At 53.9% G+C, this 16,671-nt stretch overlaps 1 protein-coding gene across 20 annotated transcripts in view, besides 1 other annotated feature; it reads right to left on the bottom strand.

Moving 5' to 3' along the window:
* The window catches only part of GTF2IRD1 (GTF2I repeat domain containing 1), a 148,700-nt gene that overhangs the window by 86,360 nt on the left and 45,669 nt on the right, over positions 1-16,671 (bottom strand). For 13 of the 20 annotated variants that reach the window (NM_016328.3, NM_005685.4, XM_011516713.2 and 10 more), the window contains exons 2-4: positions 8,043-8,171; positions 3,275-3,416; positions 650-805 (exon numbers count right to left, since the gene is read on the bottom strand). In NM_016328.3, coding sequence (NP_057412.1) covers positions 650-805; positions 3,275-3,416; positions 8,043-8,165 — 421 coding nt within the window. In that variant the 5' untranslated portion in view covers positions 8,166-8,171. Of the gene's footprint in view, positions 1-649; positions 902-3,274; positions 3,417-8,042; positions 8,172-16,671 lie in introns of all 20 variants that reach the window. The other 7 variants (XM_047421058.1, NM_001199207.2, XM_047421064.1 and 4 more) reach the window with 1 other exon arrangement.
* Positions 10,764-11,264: an enhancer, noted in NCBI's record as "H3K4me1 hESC enhancer chr7:73919312-73919812 (GRCh37/hg19 assembly coordinates)". NCBI's record gives its function as "activates a minimal SCP1, AML or CMV promoter by ChIP-STARR-seq in naive H9 embryonic stem cells {active_cell/tissue: H9 hESC(naive)}" and the evidence as "EXISTENCE:reporter gene assay evidence [ECO:0000049][PMID:30033119]".

Raw genomic sequence — 16,671 nt, 5'->3', positions numbered from 1 at the left:
CCTAAACCCACTGTGAGGGGGCTTCCAGGAGCAGAGCCTCAGTGCCACGCAGGTGTCTGCCAGACACAGGAGGGGAAAGGCAGTCTCAAAAGATGTAACAGCGCGAAGTCCAGGGCATGTGAAATGCACCAGCGAGTGCTGGAGAACTGGAAGTGGTTCTGTAGAGAGGTCAGTAGGGCCCTGTCACCTAGTGGGAGAAGAAGGTGTGGAGGGGATGAGGATGGGTGTGTGGGCCCCTGTGCCATGCTCAGGGTGATGGGGAGCCCCCGAAGGCTGTGGAGAGAAGAGCTTCATTAATGATCAGACTTGTGCTTTGAGAAGATACCCTTGGTTGCAGGGCAGGTGTAGAGAGCTGGTCTGGAAGCAGGGAGACCGTGGCAAGCCTGGGGCTATTTCTAGGCGAGAGGTGGCAGTGACTTGAGCCAGGGCAGGGACAGTAGGGGTGGAGGTTTGGAAAACGGCTGGAGCAGAACTTCTGTGTCTGGGAATGCAGAGATGAGGAAGGGCTGGGGTAGCCAGTAGCCCCATGCCTTGGGGTCCGGCTTTGCCCAGGGCCCATAGTGGGACAGGAGGGGGCCCCCTCTGCTGGGTGGGGACCGAGGCTCCCACCCTCCCTGGGGCCCCCAAATGGAATGAGGAAGGATCTTACTATAAAGAACATCAAACACCTCCTCTACCATCTTCCGCAGAAGGTACACATCTGAGCCATGTTCCAGGGAGGACCGAGGGAGGCTACGGCCTCCACCCTCGCCCCGCTGCACCTTCTTGGGGTGCTCTGCCTCCGGATCCTTCCACGGGGGCCCTCCTGTGGGACACAGAGCACGCGAGGCCACAGTGAGCACCCGTCTCACCACCCGGCCTTCGAGCTGGGATGTCGCTGCCCTGTGCTGAGCTGCGGAGACTGGCACACAATGTGATACACAAGTGAATGAATGAATGAAGAATTAATGAGTGAGCAAGCCCTATTCCAACCACCCCACTGAGGGCCAGGGCTGGTCATCTCAGAGTTCCCAGGGCTGGGCCTCACCTCTGGTCACCTCTAATTTGCTGTGTGACCTTGGGTTAGTCCCTTCTCTCTCTGAGCCTCAGTCTGTGAATGTTCACGGGAGGCCAGCTATTCCAGCTCAGAACTGAGGTTCGATGAATGTTCCATCTGTGTCTTTCTATTTTTTTTTTTTTTTTTTTTTTTGAGACAGAGTCTCGCTCTGTTGCCCAGGCTGGAGTGCAGTGGCACAAGCTTGGCTCACTACAACCTCCACCTCCAGGGTTCAAGTGATTCTCCTGCCTCAGCCTCCCGAGTAGCTGGGATTATAGGCGCCTGCCACCTTACCCAGCTAATTTTTGTATTTTTAGTAGAGATGGGGTCTCACCATGTTGGCCAGGCTGGTCTCGAACTCCTGACCAAAGTGCTGGGATTACAGGTGTGAGCTACCATGCCCGGCCCCATCCATGCCTTTCTGTGCTCTGACACGAACACTGTCTTGACCAATCTATGCCACCGTTTTCTGCTCTGCCGGAGGGAGAGAAAACCCTCCGGCAGAGGGTTGGGAGGCACCCCCCAACCCCTGCTCCAAGGAGGCCGTGGGTTGCAAACAGCAGGTTCATGCCAGGCTGGGCCAGGGTGGGGACCGGAGAGTGTTGGTGGATCCTTGGGGAATGTTCTAGAAGCTGCATTGGAAAGGAGATGAGAGGAGGGGCCTGCGGCCCCCTCCCAGCTTGGAGCCTATTCTCCTCTGGGATCTGCGGAGCTTGAAATAAACCAGCCGAGTTCCTGGTGCTATAAATAGCGGCTCTGCGTGGCTCTAGAAGGCAGGTGCACCGCCTCAGGCTCTGGGCGGCTGGGGTGCCACACGACCTGCTGCTGTCCATTCTACCCGGCCCAGTCCCCCATCCTGGCCCTGGAGAAGGTCTAGGCTCTGAGGGCTGAGGGGGGTGGGGGGCTGGCTGGGGATGCGGCTGCACCCCAGTAATGCTAGGCCCAGCGCTGGGGGATGCCCTTCCCTGAAACAGCTGATCTTAGGGGTGTGAGGTGAATACTAATAATAGTAACAACAGCTGGTGTCTATTGAGTGTGAACCAAGTGCCAGACACTGCCCTAAGTGCTTGCAAGGTACCAATTCGTTTAACCCTCAGACCCACCCGTCCTCCCCTTTCACAGATGAGTGGGTTGAGGCACAGCAGTTGTGGACCCAGGCGGCCCGTTCTCTTAACCTCATGCTATACCATGGTTCTTTTGAGATGGGGACTCACTGTCACCCAGGCTGGAGTGCAGGGGTGCCATCGTAGCTCACTGTAGTCTTGAACTCCCAGGCTCAAGTGATCCTCCTGCCTCAGCCTCTCAAGCAGCTGGGACTACAGGTGTACACCATCAAGCCTGGTTAATTTTTAAATTTTTTGTAGAGACAGAGGCCTTGCTATGTTGCCCAGCCTGGTCTCCAACTCCTGGGCTCAAGTGATCCTCCCATTTCAGCCTCCCGAAGTGCTAGGACTACAGACATGAGCCACTGCACCTGGCCTAAGATGTTAACCCTGACTATAGCCATGACAGTGCCTGCCCCCTCAGGTTGATGTCAGGGTAGGTGAGTTAGCATCAGAAAAGATGCTATGTACAGCAGGCATTCAATAAATCTTATTGGAACATGGCCAGGCATGGCGGCTCACATCTGTAATCCCAGCACTTTGGGAGGCTGAGGTGGGCGGGTCACCTGAGGTCAGGAGTTCGAGACCAGCCTGGCCAACAAGGTGAAACCCCGTCTCTACTAAAAATACAAAATTAGTTGGGCGTGGTGGTAGGTGCCTGTAATCCCAGCTGCTCGGGAAGCTGAGGCAGGAGAATCACTTGAACCTGGGAGGCAGAGGTTGCAGTGAGCCAAAATTGTGCCACTGCACTCCAGCCTGGGTGACAGGGCAAGACTCTGTCTCATTTAAAGAAAAAAAAAATTGTGTTGGCATAAGTGCATTTGGTCCTTGTGTTCAGGAATACATAGTTAAGAGGAAGAACTGAGCAGCAGCCTTGGCCTTGGTGTCCCCATCTGGAAAAGGCAGATGGAAGTGGCTGGCTCTGGCCTACCCTGGGGTTCACCCAGCCAGTCTCTATCAACTCAGGGGCTGCCTCAATAACACCACATCGGGAATCTCAGACAACCTAGCTTGTTAGGTTCACTCCCCACACACCGCCACCCTGGCTAGACAGGGTTGGGGACCCAGAGATGGGCTAGAGCGCCTGCCCTCGGGAAATGGCGGGCCCGGCCCTCCGGAGCCCTGGGGTACTCACGGCAGAACCTGAGGAAGTCTGACTGTAGCTCCTTCCGGGCATTCAGGAACATTCTCCCCTTCTCTGTGCCCACCACAAAGGCGCTCTCATCGTGCACGGCGACACAGGCCACCTCGGCGTTCAGTTTGGACAGCGCTGAGCACTGTGGGAAGGGCAGGCTGTGTGAGCGGAAGGGCTCCCCATACTCCGAACACCTCTAGTATCCACTTCGGGGGTGGGATGTGAGCTCCCAGCTGCCTGAGACCCCAGCAGCAGCTCCAGGGACAGACGGCCCCTCTACTGTTCTTGGTCTCAGATTCTGTAGTGGGACTGAATGAAATGGCCCTGCAGGCATTGGCGATGGGGGGTGGAGGAGGACAAGTGTCCTCTGCTCCTCCCTCCAAGGTCCTCCTCCTTGGGGTAGGCCCCCCTTAGCCCCAGCCCCAGGGACAATGCCGTGCTGGGTTTTCTTGGCCCCTCTCAAGTCCTGGATGAGGAGGAGGTGGGAAGAACTGCAGGACAGGCGGGGACTGGACAGACTGGGGCTGCAATCCCACCTCGGCCACTTCTGCTGTGGGACTTGAGCAAGTCACGTCCCTCCTCTGGGCTCCAGTTTCCACATCTGTTTTGTTTTGTTTTTTGAGACACAGTCTCACTCTGTCGCCCAGGCTGGAGTGCAGTGGCACAATCTTGGTTCACTGCAACCTCTGCCTCCCAGGTTCAAGCGATTCTCCTGCCTCAGCCTCCCGAGTAGCTGGGACTACAGGCGCCCGCCACCACGCCTTGCTAATTTTTGTATTATAAGTAGAGATGGGGTTTCACCATGTTGGCCAGGCTGGTCTCAAACTCCTGACCTCAGGTGATCTGCCCGTCTCAGCCTCCCAAAGTGCTGGGATTACAGGCGTGAGCCACTCTGCGTGGCCAGTTTCCACGTCTATAGAATTGGGGACAAGCAGCCCAGTTCCACAGTGCCACTGGGCTTGGGTATGGGGATTCAATGGTTGGAGGAAAAAGATCTCTAAACTGGGACACCCTATATGGGTATACAGGCAGCTGGCTATCCTCATGGCCCCAGAGTCGAGGTCTGCAGCCCCATAGCCCAGAGGCCTTAATGTAGGGGGTCCCTACAACCAAGACCACCAGCATCTCAGGTCTCTGACCTACCCCACCAGGAAAACCCTGACTGTGAAGCCTGTGGCAGGCAGTTGTGTCTAATAAATGCTGGTTTTCATCTGAGTCAGGTAGTGCTGGCAGCTATAAAGTCTGGCTTCCAAACGCAGTTCTGTGCTGCGTGGCCTGGGACAGGTAACCTCTCTGGGCCATAATCTTGCCTATTGTGCCAGCCCCAGCCTGGAGTCGCTCTGGTTAGGAAGGTGCACGCGGCGTGGGGCCAGGAAGCCTGTCCTCCAGGGTCCCTACTGGAAAATTAAAACACAGGGCATTCATTTTCTTCTAAGATGAAAACAAAAGCTTGCTGTTCCCTTTCTGCGCGGGAACACTGTAGACTATTAACAAAAAATAAAACAAATAAATCCAGCTGTTTCTCATCCATCACAGCTGAAAGAGCTGCTTCATCCCACAGTCACCGCTCAGCTGAAGACGCCGAGACCATGGCAGAAAACTCACCCACCTAAAGGCACCCAGAGCTGGTGGGGAAGAGGATGAGATTGGGGGCGGGTGACGAAGGCACATCCCTTCAGCCCACCCTCCCTACAGGTCACCAAAAGACCCTAGCATTTGGAGGAGGCTGGACTTAAGTTACTGCTAAGCAAATATCATTGTCACCCATAGGGTCCCTCAGGAAACCCTTAAAAGGCCCAGGGACGGGGGAGCCTGTCTTGTTCGCACTGCTAGGATAACTATAGGGTCATGTGCTCCTCCAAGGAGGCTCTGAAACACTCACTAGACCACTGCTGCCAAGTAGAACTTTTTTTTTTTTTTTTTGAGACAAAGTCTTGCTCTGTCACCTAGGCTGGAGTGCAGTGGCACGACCTCGGCTCACTGTAACCTCTGCCTCCCAGGCTCAGGCGATTCTCCTGCCTCGGCCTCCCGAATAGCTAGGACCACAGGCATGCATCACCATGCCTGGCTAATTTTTGTATTTTCAGTAGAGATGGAGTTTCACCATGTTGGCCAGGCTGGTCTCAAACTCCTGGCCTCAAGTGATCTGCCCCACTCAGCCTCTCAGGGTGCTGGGATTATATGCGTGAGCCATTGCGCCTGGCCAACCCAGTGTAACTTTCTATGACTATGAAAACATTCTACCTCTGCACTGTCCAATCCATAGACACCAGCCACTTCTGACTACTGAGCACGTAAAATGAGGCTGGTGCAACTGAACAACTGAGTTGTTTATTTCGTTTTAACGAATTCGAATTTAAATGAATCAGGGGCAGTGGCTCACACCTGTAATCCCAGCACTTTGGGAGGCTGAGGCAGGTGGATCACCTGAGGTCAGGAGTTTGAGACCAGCCTGGCCAACATGGTGAAACCCCGTCTCTACTAAAAATACAAAAAAATTAGCCAGGTGTGGTGGCGCACACCTGTAATCCCAGCTACTCCAGAGGCTGAGGCAGGAGAATCACTTGAGCCCAGGAGGCGGAGGTTGCAGTGAGCCAAGATCGCGCCATTGCACTCCAGCCTGGGTGACAGAGCAAAACCCTATCTCCAAAAAAAAAAAAAAAAATTGCAAATAGCCACATGTCACTAGTGGCCATGGCATCGCCCATCACTGCCCACATCAGCCACACCTCCATCAATGCCAAGCTCACAGTACTTTGGGACACAGGGCTGAGCTCCTGGGGCCCCCTCCTCATGAAAGTCACTCTGCATAGGGGAGGGGTCATCATGGAGAGAGTGTGGCACCCAGCCCCTTTTCCAGGGGTGTCTCCCACCGCTGCCCCAAACACCACTTAAGCAGCCCTTGAGCCACCTACAGCAGGAACAGCTTGAAGGAGGTCCTTTATTTTTCGGGGAGACTTTGTACCCAGAAGTTCGCTCTAAAAACTGGTCTTGCTGGGCCAGGCGCAGTGGCTCACGCCTGTAATCCCAGCACTTTGAGAGGCTGAGGTGGGCGGATCACGAGGTCAAGAGATTGTGACCATCCTGGCCAACATGGTGAAACCCGGTCTCTACTAAAAGTACAAAAATTATCTGGCCACGTGTGGTGGTGGGGGCCTGTAGTCCCAGCTACTGGGGAGGCTGAGGCAGGAGAATTGCTTGAACCTGGGAGGCGGAGGTTGCAGTGAGTCGAGATCACACCACTGCACTCCAGCCTGGCGACAGAGCGAAACTCCGTCTCAAAAACAAAACAAAACAAAACAAAACAAAACTGGTCATGCTGTGTGACTTTGGGCAAGGTACTACCCTCTCTGTGCTTCATCATCCTAAAATGCAGGAGCGCAGCTAACTGATGTTAGACAGATTTTTAATTTTATTTTTATTTAAAAAAATTTTTTTAATTGAGAGAGTCTCCTCTGTTGCCCAGGCTGAAGTGCAGTGGCACGATCTCGGTTCGCTGCAACCTCTGCCTCCCAGGTTCAAGCAATTCTCCTGCCTCATCCTCCTGAGTAGGCAGGATTACAGGAATGTGCCACCATGCCAGTCTAATTTTTTTATTTTTATTTATTTTTTTTTGAGACGGAGTCCCCCTCTGTTGCCCAGGCGGGAGTGCAGTGGTGCTATCTCTTCTCACTGCAACCTCCACTTCCAGGGTTCAAGTGATTCTCCTGCCTCAGCCTCCCGAGTAGCTGGGATTACAGGCATGTGCCACCAGGCCCAGCTAATTTTTATATTTTTACTAGAGATGGGATTTTGCCATGTTGGCCAGGCTGGTCTCGAACTCCTGACCCCAAATGATCCACCCGCCTCGGCCCCTAAAAGTGCTGGGATTACTTGCGTGAGCCACCGTGCTGGGCCAGATTTTTTTTTTTAACACTTCCATCACAGAACTTCCCCCCAGGAAAAGGCTAGAGGAAAATGGTATTATGATGTCCTCATTTGGGATAAATTGTTATAGGTCTAGGTATGTAGGCAATAGCGCCAGGGGAGTGATGTATTATACAAAGCTCGGTTTCTCTCTTCCTGCCCGAGATGCAGTTAGAACTCTTGCTTTAACGTTGGGGATTACATCTTTCTAGTGAATGGCTCCCCACACATTATCCCCCAGGTCACCTGCTAGGAGATAGGCATGTGGTTCATCCCAGGGACAAAGTGGGAATGGCAAGAGGGGTGAAGGGACAAGGGGACGAGGGCGGAGAGCCAGTGTTTATTCCAGGGCTAGATTTTTTTTTTTTTTTTTTTAAGACGGAGTCTTGCCCTGTCACCCAGGCTGGAGTACAATGGCACGACCTCGGCTCACTGCAACCTCCACCTCCCAGGTTCAAGCAATTCTCCTGCCTCAGCCTCCCAAGTAGCTGGGATTACAGGCGCATGCCACCACGCCCAGCTAATTTTTTGTATCTTTAGTAGAGATGGGGTTTCACCATGTTGGCCAGGCTAGTCTCGAACCACTGACCTAGTGATCCACCGACCCCGGCCTCCCAAAGTGCTAGGATTACAGGCATGAGCCACTGTGCCCGGCCCCAGGGCTAGATTTTTATGTACTGGATCTCGCTGAAGTCTCACATCTCACACCCTTGATGCAGGCATCGTGGCCCTAGCTGCAGTCAGATAAACTGAGGTTCAGGTCAGTGAAAGCTCCTTCGAGTAGCTGAGGTAGGACTTGAGCTACAAGGCAGGTGGGGACGCTCACCCTGTCCCCTCCTCTTGGGTGGGTGGGGACACTCACCATGGAGTCTAAGGCAGACACGAGGCTGGTGATGATCTCGTCTTTGCGGGTGAACGCGGAGTTCCAGCGGTCGGGTCCGCAGCCGTTGGTGGGGACGTCACAGCGCTTACCCAGCAAGGCCATGGTCGCCTGTGGGGAGGGAGGAGGCAGTGGTGGTGGGCACAAGGCAGGGGGCTTGTCTCATATGGTGGCTGCCCACCCCAATCCACCTGACCCCCGGACTCCCAAGACCGCCTCTGTATCCAGGGCTGACCTTCCCTGGGCCCAAGGGCTTTATGTGTGATGGGATTAGAGCCTGCACAGGCCTGGGCACAGGTGGCAGGATAACTCACACCTTGTGGCACACCCTCCTAAGTCTGCACACCCAAGCTGAGCCCAGCACCAGGACCAGTCTGTTGGACAGGCCCCAACTGCCACCTCTCCCGGCGTGTGCAATTCTGGCCACAGCCCTCCCTCGCTCACACACCCTCCATGGCTCCCTACTGCCCATATTAGCTCTCAACTCCTCAGCCTGGTATTCTAGTTACCTGGTCTCCTGTCCCTCACTCCAGTTCCCCCTCACACTCCATGCTCCAGGCCCTCTAAGCTGTGCCACTCCCAGATGTACCGATGTTCATGCTTCCCTAGTCTGTGCAGGTTCAGTTCCCGCTGCCTGAAGCACCCTTCCTGGTCCTGCCATCATCTGCTGGTTGTCCTTGAAGCTTTTTTAAATTTTAAATTTAATTTTATTTCGAGACAGAGTCTCACTCTGTTGCCCAGGCTATAGTGCAGTGGTGCAATCTTGGCTCACTGCAACCTCCCCTTCCTGGGTTCGAGTGATTCTCCTGCCTCAGCCTCCCGGGTAGCTGGGATTACAGGTGCCACCACACGTCTGGCTAATTTTTGTATTTTTAGTAGAGATGGGGTTTCACCATGTTGGCCAGGCTGGTCTTGAACTCCTGGCCTCAGGTGATCTGCCCACCTCAGCCTCCCAAAGTGTTGGAAATACAGGCATAAGCCACTCACCCAGCCTCATCGAAGCTTTTAATTGTCCAACCTGCTTGCCCACCTCCTGTACCCCCAACCTGAAGCCCAGCTGGGTCAGGAGCCGGTGATGTCCTCCCCTCCCTTCCGCATGCCTCTGAGCTCTGCCGTCACATTTCTGCATCAAGCCACATGCTCCCGAGGCCAATGCCACCCCCGCCGAGGCCTTCCAGCCTCAGTTTCCCTCCTAGCCAGGAGACTTGGCATCAGGGGTATGGAAAGATACAGCAGGGCCGAGGCTGCTTTGTCTCAGGTCAGGGGCTCCCCAGGGCAGGACTGTGTCCTGTTGCAATGGGGTTCCTGGGGGACAGAGCTGCATCCTCCCCCTCAAGTCCAGGGCCCCCAGTTGTGGGTCCCCATGGCATGGCACAGGCTTCCTGGGTATGACAGTGTCCAGCTGGGCACCCATGAGATGCAAAGATCAGCCTCCTTTGGCTCCTGGTTCTACCCTGCCCCTCTCCTTCTTGACCCAGGGGGCACCCACAGGCTGCCCCAGTGCCAGGGCCTGCCCTCAAGGCAGCTGTCCCTGCACCAATCCAAGCAAAGAAGGCAGAGACTAGAGGCAGGGGCCTCTCGGTTCCCCTCTATGGGCTCAGTCCCGGTGCTCTCTGTGTGGCCCCTGCTGGGTGTTGATGGCAGAGAGCAGGGCTGCAGTTCCCAAGGGAGCCTGAAAACCTACCCTCTGTCTCCTACCTGCAGACAGGGAGTTTCTGCACCCAATGGGGTAGGGAAGGCCCAGGCAGGAGGACCATGGGGCTGGCACCACAAAGGGCACCAGGCCTGGGGTGTCTTCTGCCGCCATGGGTGCCCCTGCCATCTGTAAGCTCTTTGAGGGCAGAAACCAGGTCTGCCTGCCACTGTTGCACCCCAGGATCCCGACCAGTGCCCAGTGTGCATAAGGCCCAAGGCGTGTGGTCCCAGCCACAGACAGGCCTTCCAGCAGGTCATGATATATGATCATTGGCCAATGACACAGAACAGGAGATGTGACAGTGCATCACACTTCACAAGGCCAGAGGTGTCCAACCACAGGGACAGAAACATCCCGAGAAATGAGAGATGCATCAGAGCTCGGCTCTGGCCTCAGTTCTGGCTCTCCTCTGCTTTTTGGCTGTGGATAAATATTGATTTAAACAACTGGCCGGTGGGCGTTTGGCCAAAATGTATGTTGAGTTTGCTGCTAAATGTTTATAAAAGACATTTCTTCTTCTGGGTTGCAATTTTATAGAAGTTTGAAATCTGCTGTATTAAGGGATGCGGAGGGGATGACAGGCCATGGATGGGACACAGGCCTTGGATGACACCCGCTGATGAACCACGAGGTGGCCAGTGGCCACGGCTGGGGATGTTCCGTGGCAGGAAGCCCGCTTGAGGGTCTTGCATGCGACCAGACTTCATAAAAGATCCAGCTGAGAGGTCTGCCTGCCTGGGGGCTGGAAGGTGTCCCCCTCCCCCAAGCCATCCCCTGCAAGCCCGTCCCTTGAACCATTCCCAGAAAGGCCTTAGGGCTGCCAGCCTCCCAGCTGCTGAGGCCCAAATCGAATCAGGGCAAAGCAGGAGGCACCAGACAGCCATCTAGCCCTGGCCCCCCGGCTGCCCCAGACAGCGGCCGGCTCCTTCCGGTAAAGGCTCTAATCCGTTTAGGAAGGAACCAGGGACTCCAGGAGGGAGGGACACAGAGAGGGAAGAGGGGCTGGGCTGTGGGCCATCCCCAGCTCCTTGTCTCGGTCATCCGGGCTTGTAGGACCCCCTGTCCCGAGCCACAGCCCAGGTGGGTGCACTTGGGGAGCATGGAGAGAGACAGCCACTCCCTGCAAAGGGCCTCAGATGGAGGGAGAGGCAGGTTCCACGTGCCTGGAGCAAGAATGCAGCAGGAGAAGCGGGGGAAGATGAGACCCAGGCCCACGTCTGCTAGGAGCACCTCGGGTGAGTCCTGAAAGCCCGAGATTTTTCATTTGTAAAGTGGGAATGGTTCTAAACAGAAAATGAAGGCAGAGGCCGGGTGCGGTGGTTCATGCTTATAGTCCCAGCACTTTGGGAGGCCGAGGCGGGAGGACTGCTTGAGACAAGGAGCTCGAGGCTGTAGTGAGCTATGATGGCAACACTGCACTCCAGCCTGGGTGACACAGCAAGACCCTGTCTTTTAAATAAAAAATAAAAATTCTGATAGCAGGGCCAGGCGCAGTGGCTCATGTCTGTAATCCCAGCGCTTTGAGAGGGTGAAGCAGGCAGATCACTTGAGGTCAGGAGTTTGAGACCGGCCTGGACAACATGGTGAAACCCCGTCTCTACTAAAAATACAAAAATTAGCCTGGCGTGGTGGCGGGCGCCTGTAATCCCAGCTACTTGGGAGTCTGAGGCAGGAGAATCGCTGGAACCCCGGCGGTGGAGGTTGCAGTGAGCCGAGATGGCGCCACTGCATTCCAGCCTGGGCAACAGAGCAACACTCCATTAAAAAAAAAAAAAAAAAAAAAAGTAAAAATTCTGATGGCAGCATTGGCCCGCATGAGCTACTATCCTTCTTCCAGCATCACTCTATCTTAGAGACAAGAAAGGCACTAGCTCCAGGCCTCAGCCAGTGCACAGCGGGGAAGAAGGCTGTCTGTCTCCAGCCTTGCTGGTGTCCTTGCTGTCACCATGCGGTAGGAAGACCACGCTTCTCACATTCACAGGGATGCAGGGAACAGACCAGCTGCTCACACGCAGAGCTGACACACAGCCAACTGGGCCCAACTCGACATTCCTGGGTTTACACAGAAAGTTCCGTCTCCTGGGAAACCCCTCAGTCCTAGGCCACCTAGGATGGTTGGTCACACTGCAACGCAGGGAGCAATGGGAACAGGAGCCCAGACGCCTCTCTCAGCAGCCCAAAACGCAGACACTCGCAAGGAAGAGAAATATCCCAAATGTCCATCCTTTGGGTTCAAAAGTCAACTTCCCTTAATAAGGTGAGAGACGCATCTGTTCAGAGCAGCAGTATTCACAATAGCAAAGACATGGAATCAACCCATGTGTCCATCAGCGGTAGAATGGATAAAGAAAATGTGGTACATGCACACCATGGAATATTATGCAGCCATAAAAAAGAACAAAATCATGTCCTTTGCGGCAACATGGAAGTAGCTGGACATCATTATCCTACGCAAATTAACATAGAAACAGAAAACCAAATATCAAATGTTCTCACTTATAAGGGGAGCTAAACGTTGGGTACTCACAGACATAAAGATGGGAATGACAGACGCTGAGGCCTCCAAAAGCAGGGAGAGAGGGGAAAAGGAGGGGCTGAAAAACGACTTATTGGGTGCTATGCTCACTGCCTGGGTGACGAGATCACTTGTATCCCAAATCTCAGCATCGTACAATATACCTTTGTAACAAACCTGCACATGTACCCTGAGAATCTAAAATAAAAGTTAAAATTATTATTATTTTTGAGACAGTCTCACTGTCCCCCAGATTGGAGTACAGTGGTGTGATCTCGGCTCACTGCGGCCTCCGCCTCCCATGTCCAAGTGATTCTCCTGCCTCAGCCTCCCCCGTAGCTGGGATTACAGGTGCCCACCACCACGCCTGGCTAATGTTTGTATTTTTAGTAGAGACGGGGTTTCCCCATGTTGGCCAGACTGGTCTCGAACTCCTGACCTCAAGTGATCTGCCCACCTTGGCCTCCCAAAGTGCTGGGATTACAGCCCGGCCTAAAAGCTGAAATATTAAAGTAATAATAATAATGAGAAAGACATGAAGCCCCCAAAAGGCAGAGCTGGGATGGGTGGAGGGAAGTCCACTGGGAAGATCCCAGGTTACAGTCCGAGAATAGTAGAAGAGCGACTGTCACATCTGTCCCATCACCCAGCTCCCGATTTTGCTCCGCCCACCTGTGAAGCAAGGACGGCTGGTAGCTCAGCTGCTGCCAACACCTGCTGTTCAGTGCCCGGGCTCCTGTGCCCTACCTCATCAGAGGTGACCGCTCCCTGGGCAGCGGGGCCCTGGACACTGTATTTTTTTTTTTTTGAGATGGAGTCTCACTCTATTGCCCAGACTGGAGTGCAGTGGCATGATTTCAGTTCATTGCAACCTCCACCTCCCAGGTTCAAGTGATTCTCCTGACTTAGCCTCCCAAGTAGCTGCGATTACAAGCGTGCACCACCACACCCGGCTAATTTTTGTATTATTAGTAGAGACAGGGTTTCACCATGTTGGTCAGGCTGGTCTCGAACGCCTGACCTCAGGTGATCCGCCCGCCTCGGCCTCCCAGACTGCTGGGATTACAGGCGTGAGCCACCGCGCCCAGCCCTGGACACTGTATTTTTAAGTTCACAGGGGACTCTTACACCCAGCCAGGTGCAGGGCCTGGGTCATCTTCTAGGGATGTTCCCTATTCCAGACTCCAAGAAGCTCAGCTTCCCTGCCTGCCTGCCACCTGCCCCGTCTTGCCAGGGACTCCTTGCCCAGACAGCAGCAGATTTGCCGGCCGCCAAGAGCTGGAGGCCTGCCCGGACCCTGAGCCAAAAATTAGCCAAGCACTCGTGGCCACGTCTGAATCAGTGCTGCCCTGACTCAAGGCAGGGCTGCCTCCAGGCTGGGGGACCCCCATAGAAGTCCGGCCCAGAGCGCCCACTTTCTAGCCAGCCCTGGGGCCAGGGTGACAGTGAACTAACAGAAATCCAGCTGTGATTTCCAATCCCAAACACCCTGCACCTGGCGCTCAGGGCCAGTTAGGAGGCTAGCAGAGAGTGAGCTAACAGGTGCGAGCCTATTCTGCAGCCCAAAGCCTGGATGTCTGGAAACAGGTGTTACAGGTTGTTCCCACTAGCTGGTTCTGACCGATTTACCCCAGTGAAGTGCAGCCTAGTGGGAGGTGGGAAAAGGGCATGTAGACAGAAGAACAAGGCTAAGACAAAGCTCCTGGCTCGGCCCATTTAAATAAACTCCCCTTTCTGGCCGGGCATGGTGGCTCACGCCTATAATTCCAGCACTCTGGGAGGCCAAGGTGGGAGGATGGCTTGAGGCCAGAAGTTCAAGACCAGCCTGGGAAACATGGCAAAATCCTGTCTCTACAAAAAATACAGAAATTAGCCGGGTGTATGCCTGTGGCGCCAGCTACTTGGGAGGCTGAGACGGGAGGATCACTTGAGCCAGGAGTTTGAGGCTGTAGTGAGCTATGATTGTGCCACTGTACTGCAGCCTGGGAGACAGAGCAAGACCCTGTCTCAAAACAACAACAAAGGCCAGGCGCGGTAGCTCACACCTGTAATCCCAGCATTTTGGGAGGCTAAGGTGGGTGGATCACTTGAGGTCAAGAGTTCAAGACCAGCTTGGCCAATATGGTGAAACCCCACCTCTACTAAAAATTTAAAAATTAGCCAGGCACTGTGGTAGGTGCCTGTAGTCCCAGCTACTCAGGTGGCTGAGACAGGAGAATCGCTCGAACCCAGGAGGTCGAGGTTGCAGTGAGCAGAGATCACGCCACTGCACTCCAGTGTGGGTGACAGAGTGAGACTCCTTTTCGAAAAAAGAAAAAACCAAAACAAACAAACAAACAAACTCCCCTCCCCCATCCACCACCTTAGATGCCCTTCACAGAGGGGACAGCCAAAGAGGACTGGAGCCAAAAAAGTAAGTGCCAAGGTGGCATGGAACTTGGAATCTGGCCCAGGGGCTCGGCCATGACGACTCTCGCTGGCATGGGCTCAGTAGAGCTCAAGGACCGCCCCCTCCGGAGGGAAGAGACGGAAGGAGTCACAGGGCTGTTTCCCAAATGCCGGGACCAGTTTAATTCTCACAAGCTCTCATTTTACAGAGGAGGAATTCCCACCTGAAGACCCCACCACAAGGATGTCGCAAAGCTGAAACCTGAGCTCGGGTCATACCAACTAAATCCGGGTTCCCATCACCCCACAACGCAGCCTTCAAGCCCCTTCCCCCGTGGAATGATGACACAGCGGTGGGCTCGGCTCTGCACTGCCCAACCCTGCCCGGCAGTGAACAGGCGAGACCACCCAGCTGGGACCCAGGGAAGAGGCAAAGAGGAGACCCCTCAGCAGGGTCCGTTTCTCCTGCCTGGGCTTGTCCTGCACCCAGGACCAATGTGGCCCTACAGGACAGCTAGAACCCTCCCCTCCTCTTCTCCCCAAGTGTCCCCAGAGCTTCAGAAAAGTGTGTGCTTAAAGGACGATTCAATGAAATAATTTTCTAAAAAGAGAATAAATACATACATACATAAAGAAGCAGGAGTGTACCAGCCTGGGCAACATAGCAAGACCCCACCTCTACAAAAATAAAAAAAATTAGCCAGGTGTGGTGGTCCACACCTGTGGTCCCAGCTACTCAGGAGGCTGAGGCAGGAGGATCACTTGAGCCCAGGAGTTCGAGGCTACAGAGAACTGTGATCATGCCGTTGCACTCCAGCCTGGGCGACAGAGCAAGACCCTGCCTCCAAAAATAAAAAATTTAAAAAAGGAAGCATCAATGTGTGTCTGTGTGTCAGAGCATGCAAATGCGACGGGTGTGCGTGTATGAGACAGAAAAGACCACACACGTGATGCAAAGAATGAGGACAGTAAAGAAAGGGACACACACACACACACATACACGAACAACCTCAGCCAGGGTGACACTGAGAGGCCTGGCCCGCTGGCTGGGGAGGGTCACTTGTCTGCACTGGCTTGGGGTTGAACCAAAAAAACAAATGTCACAGCTCTCCAACTGGCACACCCATCACCCCACCAAATTTTTTTTCTTTTTTTTTTTTTTTAACAAAACAGATAGGGTCTCACTATGTTTCCCAGGCTGGTCTCAAACTCCCGAGCCCAAGCGATCCACCCACCTTGGCCTCCCTCCCAAAGTGCTAGGATTACAGGCGAGAGCCACCACGTTAGGCCTACCAAATTTTCAGAAAAGCACCATGAGGTGGTTCTTCTAATCCATGTTACATCTGGGGAGGCTAAGGCTCGGGAGGGGAAGCGTGCTGCTCAAGGTCATTTGTGGCAGCGGTTCAAGGTCATTTGTGACACTTGATGGGTCGCCTGTGAGCCAGCTCAGCCCAAGCCCAAGCCCTTACACCATGCACCAGCATGTCCAGGCCTCTCAACGGCAGGGGCACACATGGGGGCTCCCTCATCTGGGGATCTCTCAGGCTTTTTTCACTCTCCACAAGTGGCAGGTTCATTCACTCATTCCTCTGTGTGTGCATTCATTCACTAATTCCTTGATGTGTACATTCATTCCTTTGTGTGTATTCATTCACTCATTCCTGTGTGTGTGCATTCATTGACTAATTCCTTGGTGTGTACATTCACTCATTCATTCCTTTGTGTGCATTCATTCATTCACTAATTACTTGGTGTGCACATTCATTCTTTCTTTCGTGTGCATTCATTCACTCACTCATTCCTTGGTGTGAACACTCATTCATTCCTTGGTGTATGCATTCATTCATCCCTTGGTGTGTGCATTAATTCCTTTGTGTGTATGCATTCATTCATGTGTGCATTCATTCATTCATTTCTTGGTGTGTGCATTCATTCATTCCTTGGTGTGTGCATGCATTCCTTTGTGTACATTCATTAATTCCTTTGTGTGCATTCATTTATTCTTTAGTGTG

The sequence above is a fragment of the Homo sapiens genome, chromosome 7, assembly GCF_000001405.40.
Source record: "Homo sapiens chromosome 7, GRCh38.p14 Primary Assembly".
In the NCBI taxonomy this organism is placed as follows: Eukaryota; Metazoa; Chordata; class Mammalia; order Primates; family Hominidae; genus Homo; species Homo sapiens.
This window is presented reverse-complemented; position numbering and strand designations above follow the sequence as displayed.